Source organism: Homo sapiens, chromosome 16 (genome assembly GCF_000001405.40).
Source record: "Homo sapiens chromosome 16, GRCh38.p14 Primary Assembly".
Classification (NCBI taxonomy): Eukaryota; Metazoa; Chordata; class Mammalia; order Primates; family Hominidae; genus Homo; species Homo sapiens.
The window spans coordinates 25,165,474-25,178,460 of NC_000016.10; the positions used below are offsets into that span (position 1 = coordinate 25,165,474).

Consider the following 12,987-nt stretch of genomic DNA (forward strand, 5'->3'; position numbering starts at 1 on the left):
TTACATAACCCCTCTGTGCCTGTTTCTTTCTTTCTTTTCTTTTCTTTTTTTTTTTCTTTTTAAGCCAGAGTTTCACTCTTATTGCCCAGGCTGGAGTGCAACAGCACACTCTCGGCTCACTGCAACCTCCGCCTCCTGGGTTCAAGCGATTCTCCTGCCTCAGCCTTCCAAGTAGCTGGGATCACAGGCGTGCACCATCACACCCAGCTAATTTTGTATTTTTAGTAGAGATGGGGTTTCACCATTTTGGCCAGGCTGGTCTCGAACTCATGACCTCAAGTGATCTGCCCATCTCGGCCACCCAAAGTGCTGGGATTACAGGCATGAGCCACCATGCCCGGCTGACCCTCTGTGCCTGTTTCTTCATCTGAAAATAATAGTCCCTACTTCATAGCATTGTTGTGAGATATAAATGAGTTAATGTATTCAAAAGCACTGACAGTGTTGCCCAACTGTAAGTAAGCATCAGCTATTTTTTGTTCTCTCTGAGCCCCAGTTCTTTGTTTTGAACTGGGTGGGTGCGGTGGCTCACGCCTGTGATCCCAGCACTTTAGGGAGGCCAAGGAGGGCAGATCTCCTGAGGTCAGGAGTTTTGAGACCAGACTGGCCAACATGGTGAAACCCTGTCTCTACAAAAAATACAAAAATTAGCCAGGCATGGTGGCGGACGCCTATAATCCCAGCTACTTGGGAGGCTGAGGCAGGAGAATCGCTTGAACCAGGGAGGCGGATGTTGCAGTGAGCCGAGACTGCACCACTACACTCCAGCCTGAGTGACCGAGCGAGACGCCATCTCAAAAAAAAAAAAAAAAGAAAGAAAGAAATACCCACTCTCCAGATTATTATGGGGATTCCTGAGATGATGGTCAGTGGCTTATCACATCATAAGCACTGATACATGCTCACTATTTTTATTGTTTATTGCTTTTTATTTATTTGTTTGTTTGAGATAGGGTCTCACTGTATCACCCAGGCTGGAGTGCAGTGGTGGGGATCATGGCTTACTGCAGCCTCGACCGCGGGCTCAGATGATCCTGCCAGGTCATCCTCCCAAGTAGCTGGGATCACAGGTGCACACCACCATGCCCAGCTAATTTTTAAATTTTTTTTGTAGGGACAGGGTTTCGCCATGTTGCCCAGGTTGGTCAGTTTTATTTTTTAAATCTCCTTTTCTTTTTTATTTTATCACACATAAGAGCCATCAGGGGACTTGCCCAGTGTCACGTAATTATGGACAGATCTAGGGCTAGCCCTTGGTCTCTCAGCCTCCTCCCCAGGTCCTTTCCTGCCCAGGTTCCTGTGTAGATGGTTCTCGATTGGTTGATTTTGCATCCTTCCCTCTCTTTAATTGGGAGCGCTCCTCAGACTCTGTCTTCTATCCTGATGGATGGATGTAATGGAAGCTGGCCTCACTGGTCTTTTCTTTTGATGTGAATAAATCCTGGAGACCCATCTTTGCTTTCAGGATAACCACATCTGGGGAAACATTCCACTGTCCATACTCCACATGTTTTGGATTTGTACTGCTGCTTTCCCTTTCCTTAGTTTGTGTATTCTTTTGTTGAACAAGTGTTTATTCAACATCATATGAGAGATGATGGATTCAGTGAATTCTGACCAGAGATCTTGTCACTTTGGAGCAAGCCTGGGAATGTGCCAGTTTTCAAAACGTTGTCCATAGCTGTCCCTAGACTGGTTCTGCTCCCACCCACCACCCTCACCTGGTGAATAATGAACATTTAAGTTAATTCAGTGGTTTCCTAACAAACGCAAAATGACCAGCACCCTCACAAACCATGTATTAATTGCTCACATGCTTTACATTGTTTGCTTTTCCTTTTTTTTGGTCTTTTTTTTTTTTAGAGACAGGGTCTCGTTCTGTCGCCCAGGCTGGAGTACAGTGGTGCCGTCATAGCTCACTGCAGTCTTGAGCTCCCAGGTTCAAGTGATCCTCCCACCTTAGTCTCCCATTAGTTAGGACTGTAGGTGCACACCACCACTCTTGACTTTATTTTTTTGGTAGAGACAGGGTCTTGCTATGTTGTCCAGGCTGGTCTCAAACTCCTGGCCTCAAGCAGTTCTCCAACCCCAGTCTCCCAAAGCCCTGGGACTGCAGGCATCAGCCACCATGCTCAGCTTGTTGCCTAATTAGTAGTTTAAGATGACAAAACTACATGGATGATAATAATTTCAATAATAATTCTAAAGCAGTGGTAGCAAATTCTTAGATTTTGCTTACTATATAGCAGGGACTATTCTATGAATTTTACATATATTAACTTATTTATTTATTTATTTATGTTTTGAGATGGAGTCTTACTCTGTCACCCAGGCTGGAGTGCAGTGGCACGATCTTGGCTCATTGCAACCTCCACCTCCCAGGTTCAAGAGATTCTCCTGCCTCAGCCTCCTGAGTAACTGGGATTACAGGCGTGTGCCACTATTCCTAGCTAATTTTGTATTTTTAATAGAGACAGGGTTTCATGTTGGCCAGGCTGGTCTCAAACTCCTGACCTCAAGTGATCCGCCCACCTCGGCCTCCCAAAGTGCTGGGATTATAGGCGTGAGCTACCGCACCCAGCCTTTTTTTTTTGAGACAGAGTCTCGCTCTGTCATCCAGGCTGGAGTGCAGTTGCGCAATCTCAGCTCACTGCAGCCTCTGCCTCCTGGGTTCAAGTGATTCTCCCGCCTCAGCCTCCTGAGTAGCTGGGATAACAGGCACGTGCCACTGCGCCTGGCTGATTTTTGTATTTTTAGTGGGGATGGAGTTTCACCATGTTGGCCAGGCTGGTATTGAATTCCTGGCCTCAAGTGATCCACCTGCCTCAGCCTCCCAAAGTGCTGAGATTACAGACATGGCCACCATGCCTGGCCTAAAGTGAGTTTTTGAAAAAGCAATAGTGTATATACTACAATGGTGTACACTAATATTGTTTCCTGGCCTTTTTCATATATAATTTTGGGTTTTTTAGATTAGTTTTTGTAATTTAAAAAGTAATACCATATGTAGAGTACAAAAATTAAAAATAGAACAGGGTAGACAAGGAAAAGTAAATCTCTCTCCTGCCCCAGACTTTGGTCCTCTAATCTGGGAAGCAAGGCTGCCACATTCCAGAATTTTTCTATGTACATAGAGAGATTCTTTTTTTCCTTGAAGACAGATGGGCTCATACTATCCATATTCCTCTGTACTTCACTTTTCAAGAGTTTACCCTAGAGGTCATTTCATGTCTATATCTGTCTTCTCTGTTTTCATGGCTATATATAATTTCATTATACAAACATGCCAGGAGTTATTTCCAGATTCTTCCTATTATACCTAATGCTGTGATAAACATTCTTGCATCTTAGCATACATGTGGGAGTGTGTCTGTAGGATAGATTGCTTTTGGTGGAATTGGTGGATCACAAGTTGAGCATTTAAAATGGTTGTATCCTGCCCAGTTTCCCTTCCAGGGCTACCCAAGTTTATGCTCCCGCCAGCACCGTGCTGGTGCCCGCCCCTCAGTCCGTTTCCTATGCTGGGTGTGCGTCATCAAGCGTCAGCCTCGGCTGCTTAAAAATAGGATGAATGATGTTTTATTTTGCATATTTAGGAAACCCTTAGAGTAATATCTTACCTTCTCTTTCCCTCCTAGGTGAACATGGGTGATCGGTTTGGGCAGATCATGATTGAAAACCTGCGGAGACGCCAGTGTGACCTGGCGGGAGTGGAGACCTGCAAGTCATTAGAGTCACAGGTCAGAGAGCAGGGACTGGGATATCCATTTGGACCCTTAGTCAACCAAGATATATAAAGGTCTTTCTTTGCAGATGTGATCATGGAGAAGCCCTGTTCAGTGCCTGTCAGCAGCACAGGCTGCTGAGCCTCCATGTGGGCCGCTAGTTCATGATGCTGGGAAGACCAAGTCCTGCTTCACCATCACATTTCCTACACCCTATTATTTTGACTTTGTATTACGCAAATTTTCAAACAAACATAAAGGTAGAGGGAATGGTGAAATAAACACACACGTCTCATCACCTAACTTCAGTATTTCTTATATTATCAGTGTTATTTCCTATATTCCCCCACAATTTTTTTGTAGATGTTGGAATATTTTCAGGCAAATCCCAGACAGCACATGATTTCACCCCTAAATACACATGTGAATCACCTTCCAATAAGGACTTTCTTCTCCCAGGATGATGATAATACCATTTCACAGATCATACAAGTTGACAACTCCTTCATAGCATTTAATGCCCAGTTCATGTTCAGTTTCCCCAGTTGTTTAAAAAACCTTTTTTTTATAGTTGATGTGTTTGAATCAGGATTTAAACATTGTCCACACTTTGCAGATGATTGATATGTCCCTTAAACCTCTTTGACTCTATGTTAATGCCCCCTCCCTTTAAAAAAGTCATCTATTTTTTCTCATAACACCTCCCACCCCGCCCCCATATAAGTAGGTTCATTTTTTTGGGCGGGCGCGGTGGCTCACACCTATAATCCCAGCACTTTGGGATGCTGAGGCGGGCGGATCACCTGAGTTCAGGAGTTCGACACTAGCCTGGCCAACATGGTGAAACCCCATCTCTACTAAAAATACAAAAATTAGCCGGGTGTGGTGGTGCACACCTGTAATCCCAGCTACTTGGGAGACTGAGGCAGGAGATTTGCTTGAACCTGGGAGATGGAGGTTGCAGTGAGCCAAAATCAAACTACTGTACTCCAGCCTGGGCAACAGAGTGAGCCTCCGTCTCAAAAAAAAATTAAATAAATAAATAGGTTCATTTTTACATATCTTTTGTCACATAACAATTAGAGTGCTTTAAAAAACTGTCACTCATAGAAAAGTTCTTCCTTTATTTCTCTTTGGAAGTACTTTAGTGAACTTCCCCCCATTATAACAATGCTTGTTCAATATGGAAAGTTGGAAAGTTAAAAAAAGGTGTTAGGGTCTAGGATGGGCTTTTGAGAAAGGAGTCGTCTCAGAGGAGGTCTGGTGTGCTTAAGAGCATTTCAGTACCAAGCACACTGGCTCACACCTCTCATCCCAGCACCTTGGGTGGCAGAGCGGGGAGGATCGCTTGAGCCCGGTGGGTCAAGGCTGCAGTGAGCTGTGATCACACCACTGCACTTCAGCCTGGGCAACAGAATGAGACCTTGTCTCTTTAAAACAAAACAGTGTCTTAGATTTGTAAGCCGGTGCCTGGTAGTTCTCTAGTTCTCCATTTCTCTTCGTTGCACATTTTAGAAAGAACGGCTCCTGTCGAATGGGTGGGAAACAGCATCGGCCGTCGACATGATGGAGTTGTACAACAGGTTACCTCGAGCTGAAGTGAGCAGGTATGGGGTTGGTGAGCGTCAGCTTGATGGGCATTCATTGTGAACTCAAGGCATGATTGCCTGTATTCTTTCATGCAGAAAAACAGAACAATATGTGGAGATTTCATTAAAAAACAAAAAACAAACAAACAAATAAAAAACAAGGCCAGGCACGGTGGCTCACACCTGTAATCCCAGCACTTTGGGAGGCATAGGCGGGCAGATCACTTGAGGTCAGGTCAGGAGTTCGAGACCGGCCTGGCCAACATGGTGAAACCTTGTCTCTACTAAAAATGCAAAAATTAGCCAGGTAGGGTGGTGCACATTTATAATGCCAACTACTTGGGAGGCTGAGCCGGGAGAATCACTTAAACCTGGGGCGGGGGCAGAGGTTGCAGTGAGCTGAGATCGTGCCGCTTCACTCCAGCCTGGGCAAAAGAGCAAAACTCTTGTCTCCAAAAATAAATAAAAATACAAAAATTAGCCGGGTGTGGTGGCACACATCTGTAATCCCAGCTACTAGGGAGGCTGAAGCAGGAGAATTACTTGAATCCAAGAGGCGGAGGTTGCAGTGAGCTGAGATGTGCAATTGTATCCAGCCTGTGCGACAGAGCAAGACTGCTTCTCAAAAAAACAAACAAACAAACAAACAAAAAAAAACCCCAAAAAACAAGACCCTAACTAGACCTATTTTGAAACAAGTTAAACACTGATAGCAGCTTGAAAGTAACTCATTAGCTATTAGCTGAGATAGGGCTTATGCCCAAACTGATTATTTTAGTGAAAACAAGCAATGACACCTGGAAAACTCCCAGAGCAACCTTGGCAGTGGAAATTTTACATAATCCCTGCTTTGGAGAGGGAGGAAAACGACGTTGTTCAAGGACGTATAAGGGGCTGGCGGGTTTTTAAATGGACTTTTCTCCCCATTATAAAGGAAATCTATGCTTCTTGTTCTAAAAAGTTCCTCAAGCATTCTAAAGTGCATGAAGTATAAAGTAGTTGTCCATTCTGTAGTCACACCTGGGAGGTAGCAGTTCTTAACATATTGGGGAATATTCTTTTCCTACATAGATAGATAAATATTTATTGATACATAGATTTCTATTTTTTGAATCTGTGGATTCATACTACACATACTGGTCTGTAAACCACCATCCTTTTTGAAAACAATAGATTGTATTTGCCTTTACATATCAAAATATTGAGGGTTGCCATATCCCATTTAAGGGTACATAGGGCCAGGTGCGGTGGCTCACACCTGTAATCCCAGCACTTTGGGAGCCCAAGGCAGGTGGATCACCTGAGGTTAGGAGTTCGATACCAGCCTGGCCAACATGGTGAAACCCTGTCTCTACTAAAAATACAAAAAATTAGCTGGGCATGGTGGCGGGCGCCTGTAATCCCAGTTACTTGGGAGGCTGAGGCAGAAGAATTGCTTGAACCTGGGAGGCGGAGGTTGCAGTGAGCCGAGGTAGCACCATTTGTACTCTGGCCTGGGCAACAAGAGCGAAACTCTGTCTCAAAAAAAAAAAAAATAGGGTACATAGTATTTATATTGATTTACGCAGATACAGTATATTGATGATAATTTTTAAGTAATTAAAAATGTCTGTAGCTGGGCATTTAGTTGCGGTGTCTTGTTTATTCATCATGTTTTCATTTGCCTGTTATAAACAACACTGGAGAGAACATCACCAACGTGCATCTGTGTACAGCGCTAGTGCGCACTTCAGCTCTTTTTTTTGTAATCACTCTGTGCTTCCTGATTCATGCTTCCTTCTTGCCTTTGGAGACCTAAGATCAATAGCCTTTGGTCTCTTACAAGATCATGAGAAGAATTTTGGCTTTGCTTTTCCATATAACTTATTAACATTTAGGCATATCACTGTTTTTCCCAAATATGTACATGAATAATTGGCAATGAAAGCCTAGAGGGTTTGAGAAAGTGCTGTCTCCACGTGATCAGGTCAATGCTTCCTGGATTCTTCCAGAAGCATCCTTCCCCACAGGCTGGTTTTCATTTGCTACATGTCAAGACGACTGTTTTGAACATCCCTGATCTGGCCCCTGAAATGGGGATGCTCTGGCACTGCTTCTAGATGCCCAGAAAGGAGCCTCTGACTAGCATCAACCACAAGGAAAGTCTCTTGCCTCCAGGCAGTCATTTGTCTCATGTTTCCAGGACCTTCTGTAGATAGCAGCGTGTAACCCTCACGGGGGAGGCGGGTAAGGAGATTGGAAGGCCTTTGTCTATGCCAGGTCGAACAGCCTTTCCAGCTCTGTGAATGCCACGTAGTTTGTATCTGCTTTTGCCGGAAACTGTAGAGTATAATAGGAAGTCTAAGGCGAGCCTGTTCATTGAACAAATGCTGAGTTGAGTGTCTGCTGTGTGCCCGGCACTTTTCTAAGCACCAGAGATACAGCAATGATCAAAACAGGACAAAAGACATTCCTGCCCTTGGGAGTGCTCATTCTAGTGAACAGCTTAATAATTAGTAGTGTCTCCTGATAGCTGTTCTTGGTAATAACCATCCTGGAGCCTTCAGTATGGTACTGGATTTTTCTAGAACTTGGTATCAGATCTGCTTTGGATGTCTCCTGGTAGAATGACTTGGGAAACAACCACATTACTTTATGTGTAGGCATTCTTACTTCAGATTTGGTCCTGAAGCCTGCATACCAAGACGGGAATGAACTCACAAATACAGAAACATGCACAGACACACACGTGTTCACACCTGGGTGTACGTGCACACATATAACAGACAAGGCCTGGGCAACTGGCAGGATTCATATGTTAGCAGTGGCTATTGTGAATAGTAGGAATATGGATCCTGTTTCTTTTTTTATTTTATTCTGTATACTTTTTGAAAATGCCGGACTTTTCCTCCATAGTGTGTACCTATTTTGACAGAAACTTTTTTTTTGTTTTTTTTTGATAGAGATGGAGTCTTGCTATGTTGCCTAGGCTGGTCTCAAACTCTGGGCCTCAAGTGATTCTCCCACCTTGGCCTCCCAAAGCTCTGGCATTAGAGGCGTGAGCCACTGCTCCTGGCAAACAGAAACTTTTTTAAAACGCTATTTCCATATGTTTGTGCATGTTTCTCTGTGTGTGTATATAGTTATTTATTTTTATTTTTTTGAGACCGAGTCTCGCTCTGTCACCAAGGCTGGAGTACAGTGGCGCGATCTCTGCTTACTGCAACCTCCGCCTTCCAGGTTCAAGCAATTCTCCTGCCTCAGCCTCCCAAATAGCTGTGACTACAGGTGGGCACCACCATGCCAGGCTAATTTTTGTATTTTTAATAGAGATGGGGTTTCACCATGTTGGCCAGGCTGGTCTCGAACTCCTGACCTCAGGAGATCCACCCACCATGGCCTCCCAAAGTGCTGGGATTACAGGCGTGAGGCACTTCACCCAACCTGTGTATGTATGTTTAAAAGTTTACATTTAAAAGGCTTTTTGGGAAAAGTCATACATGCATATAATTTTTTACAAAACCAAAATGAAGTAGTATAGAGTAAAAACAACCCTCCTCACTACTGGTCTACTACCTTCTCTCTTAAGAGACAACTACCATTTCTAGTTTCTTCTGTATTTTCCAAAAGTCTGTACATATACAGACAAATTTGTCTCACTTTTTCTTTACATAGAGAGTGGTGTAATATGCACATTACTTGCTTTTTAAATTACGCAACTTGCTTTTTAAATTCCATGATATATATGTCTTGGAGGTTATTGCATATTAATACGTATGGACCTACCCCATTTTTAAAAATGGCTGCATAGTGTCCTGTTTTGACAGTATGAATCTGCTTCAATTTACTCTGCCTGTCTCCTCCAGTTGCCACTAGTTTTTCTTACTGAAGTTTAACAGCTCTTTATATAATAAGGAACTCAGCCCTTTGCCACTTGAATTGCAAATATATGTTTCTAGTTTGGCATTTGTATTTTGACTTTGTTTATGGTATTTTTTCTTCTTTTCAGTGAAAAGACATTAAAATGGAGCCACACCATAATTACTATTTTATAGCCGCCTTCTTTCCACTTAATCTATCATAAACATTTTTTCATATCCGTAGCTATGGGCCATGATCTTCATTTTCAATGCAGACACTTGCATCGTTCTATTTTAATTCTTTCCACAGGATAGAATCACTTGAATTCCTGGATGAAATGGAGCTGCTGGAGCAGCTCATGCGGCATTACTGCCTTTGCTGGGCAACCAAAGGAGGAAATGAGCTTGGTGCGTGATTGTACTTTTCTTGCCTTGACCTGGAAATAGTGAACTTTTCTTTTTCCTATTCTTTCCCTTTCTCTTTCTGTTTTTTGTCTTCCCTCTTTCTCTCTCTGTCCCTTCTTTCTTGTTTTGAGACAGGGTCTCGCTCTGTCACCCAGGCTAGAGTGCAGTGGCACGGTCATAGCTCATTGCAGCCTTCAATTCCTGGGCTCAAGTGATCCTCCTGCCTCCTGAGTAGCTGGGACTACAGGAGCCTGGCTAATTTTCTGTAGAGGTCTCTCTAAGGCTGGTCTTGAATTCCTAGCCTCAAGTAGGCTGGGCGCGGGGTCTCACACCTGTAATCCCAGCACTTTGGGAGGCTGAGGTGGGCAGATCACTTGAGGTCAGGAGTTTGAGACCAGCCTGGCCAACATGATGAAACCCCGTCTCTACTAAAAATACAAAAAAAAAAAAAATAGCCAGGCGTGGTGGCAGGCACCTGTAATCCCAGCTACTTGGGAGGCTGAGGCAGGAGAATCACTTGTACCTGGGAGGTGGAGGTTGCAGTGAGCCGAGACTGCACCATTGCACTCCAGCCCGGGCAAGAAGAGCGAAACCCTGTCTCAAAAAATAAATAAATAAAGAATTCCTGGCCTCAAGCAATCCTCTTGCCTCAGCTTCCCAAAGTGCTGGGATTACAGGCATGAGCCACTGTGCCTGGCCGGAACTTTTCTTCTTCCCAAAATGAAAGATGTATTTGGAACTTTGGGCCCAGAAAGAACTAGAGGATGATGTACATGTATCCGTGAGCATATCCAGAGAACTTGCTGTTATATCTTTTGTGCTTTTATAGCACAAAAACCAAGAGAACTGTTTAAGCCTTGTAGCCCAAAACAACCCTTGAGAGATGTACTGTGGAGTTCCCACAGCTGGAAGGTAAAAGAGCTTGAGAGTTTAAAAATCTCTAGAAAAGTAACCGGCGTTTGTCTTTTCCATCCACTTACAACCAGGTTCACTGGATGTTAAACGCACAGATCAGTACATCTTGCTTACAAACCCATGCAGCTAGGGGCTGAATTTTCCCTCTTCTCATTAAGGTGCACATGCCTGTCTGTGGCCGAGTAGGGCCACGGAGAACAGGCGTGGATCTATCTCTGTTTCTTGTTACCTTTGTCCTGGTCCAGCTCCTTTTCAGCTGCCCCCTGCTGGGCTTGCCTCCCCCAGTGGTTAGGCTTTGAGTGTCTCTCCAGCCCGATGGAGGCCACTTTAGATCCCAGTTCCGGCCTTCAGTGGAATAGCTGCCCTTCAAGCTTCCCGCAGATGTAATCCACATGACATGTGGTCACAAGCGGGCAGCTGATCCGAAACAGAACTTGACAGAGGCAAGGACCATTCCCTATGCAAAAATTCCAGGTTGACATGAGACTGATAATCAGCCCCTTTGGACCTGTCATTCCACACAGATTTGCCTAGCTATGCAGCTCAGCCCACACAATCCTTTCACATTTGTTTTGTTTGGTTTTGGTTTTTGTTTTTTTTTGGCTTTTTTTTTTTTTTTTTTTTTTTTTTTTTTGAGATGGAGTCTTGCTCATTGTCCAGGCTGGAGTGCAGTAGCATGATCTCGTCTCACTGCAACCTCCGCCTCCTGGGTTCAAGTGATTCTCCTGCCTCAGCCTCCTGAGTAGCTGGGATTACAGGCGTCCACCACCATGTCCAGCTAATTTCTGTATTTTTGGTAGAGATGGGGTTTCACCATGTTGGCCAGGCTGGTCTCGAACTCCTGACCTTAAGTGATCTGCCTGGCTCGGCCCCCCAAAGTGCTGGGATTATAGGCATGAGCCATTGTGCCTGGCCTTCACATTCCTTTTGGATTTAAAGTCATTTATTGTGAATTGAGCGCAGTGGCTCATGCCTGTAATCCCAGCACTTTGGGAGGCTAAGGCAGGCAGATCACCTGAGGTCAGGAGTTCGAAACCAGCCTGGCCAACATGGTGAAATCCCGTCTCTACTAAAAATACAAAATTTAGCTGGGCGTGGTGGCACATGCCTGTAGTCCCAGCTACTTGGGAGGCTGAGGCAGGAGAATCTCTTGAACCCGGGAGGCAGAAGTTGCAGTGAGCTGAGATGGCACCACTGTACTCCAGCCTGGGCAACAGAGCGCGACTCTGTCTCCAGAAAAAAAAAAAAGTCACTTATTGGGGTATTTGTATGTTATCCTCCTCTTAATTATATTAAAAAATACTTCTTAGTAGGAAACTTAAAAGCTTCTAAAAAGTATGACTAAGAAAATCCACCTGTATGCCTGTCAGTCAGAGATGACCTCTTGTGACTTTTCCCTTCCCCTCTATTTCTAAATAGTGTTTTGTTTGTTTTTATAATAAGAGTTGAATTTTTATATTTATGCAACTTTGATTTCAAGTGTTTTCAATTTAATGTTATAACATTAGCATTTCCCCCTGGCAATTAAAAATGCTCAATGAGCATAATTGTAATGGCTTTATAATATTGTATTATGTCACTATGGCTGAATTAATATTTCCATATTTTTGGAAATGTAGGTTATTTGTAATACTTTTAAGTGAACTCTAGTTCTCACAAAGGAACAATATATTGAGCATTTTAATGTCAGGAATTTACTTTGTCCCCACTGACCCGTGACTGCTTTGGGACATCAGTGCTTGTCTGTGTGTGTGGAAGATCCGTATCTGCCTTTGCTCAAAGTTCAGCACATAAAGGGTAGATTTTTGGCGTTAACTGCAGACAGTCCATAAACTGTTATAATGTTTTCTTAATCATTTTAAAACCACCCATAAACACAGTCTTACCCAACCTTTTGTTTCCTTGCGAAACCTCATTTTATGTAGCAGGAGGGCGGTGCTACAGTGGTCAGCAGTGTGGCTGGTGCCCCTGAGCCGGTCACTGGGGGTCCTCTAGGGGCCTCTGCTCCTGGCCACCAGAGTCTCCTAATGGTGTCTGTGTGTCTCTCCCCTCAGGGCTGAAGGAGATAACTTATTAATCTGTCGAAGGCTTATGCCGAGCCAGAAGCCGAAGCCACTTGCCCTCCTGGAGGAGACCTGCAAGCTCCCTGAGCGGTGGGCGGGCCTCGTCCGCAGGTCTCATCCCACACTCTTGAGAAGCCTTGGTCACTACAGTGGTCGCACATGTTCCTCTTCCTGTTCCTGTTGACATGTCGTTGTTTAAATAAATCTCACTTGCCACCAGTCGCCTGTGGTTGGACCTCTGCTGGCTGCCGCTGCTCGTTCCGTGCCCCATGGCTTGGGCGGGCCAGGGTTCACCTCTGTGTTAGCTAAAGCCAAGGACCCCAAGTCTGCTTTGACCTTGGCTTACTCCCTGTGAGTCACACCCGGCCCATGACCTTGAGTCCATTTTAGGATCTACTCCCTCACATGCTGTTTGTTGCAGCACATGACATTGTGCCTCACTCCCTGACCC

The 12,987-nt window shown here is 44.4% G+C and overlaps 1 protein-coding gene across 6 annotated transcripts in view; it reads left to right on the forward strand.

The window, feature by feature from the left end:
- Positions 1 to 12,755, forward strand: part of LCMT1 (leucine carboxyl methyltransferase 1) — a 66,487-nt gene extending 53,732 nt beyond the window's left edge. For all 6 annotated transcript variants that reach the window (XM_011545864.2, XM_011545862.3, NM_016309.3 and 3 more), the window contains 4 exons: positions 3,639 to 3,740; positions 5,241 to 5,332; positions 9,464 to 9,561; positions 12,528 to 12,755. In XM_011545864.2, the coding sequence (XP_011544166.1) occupies positions 3,639 to 3,740; positions 5,241 to 5,332; positions 9,464 to 9,561; positions 12,528 to 12,550 (315 nt within the window). In that variant the 3' untranslated portion in view covers positions 12,551 to 12,755. The remainder of the gene's footprint in view (positions 1 to 3,638; positions 3,741 to 5,240; positions 5,333 to 9,463; positions 9,562 to 12,527) is intronic.
- Positions 12,756 to 12,987: the final 232 nt, after the last annotated feature.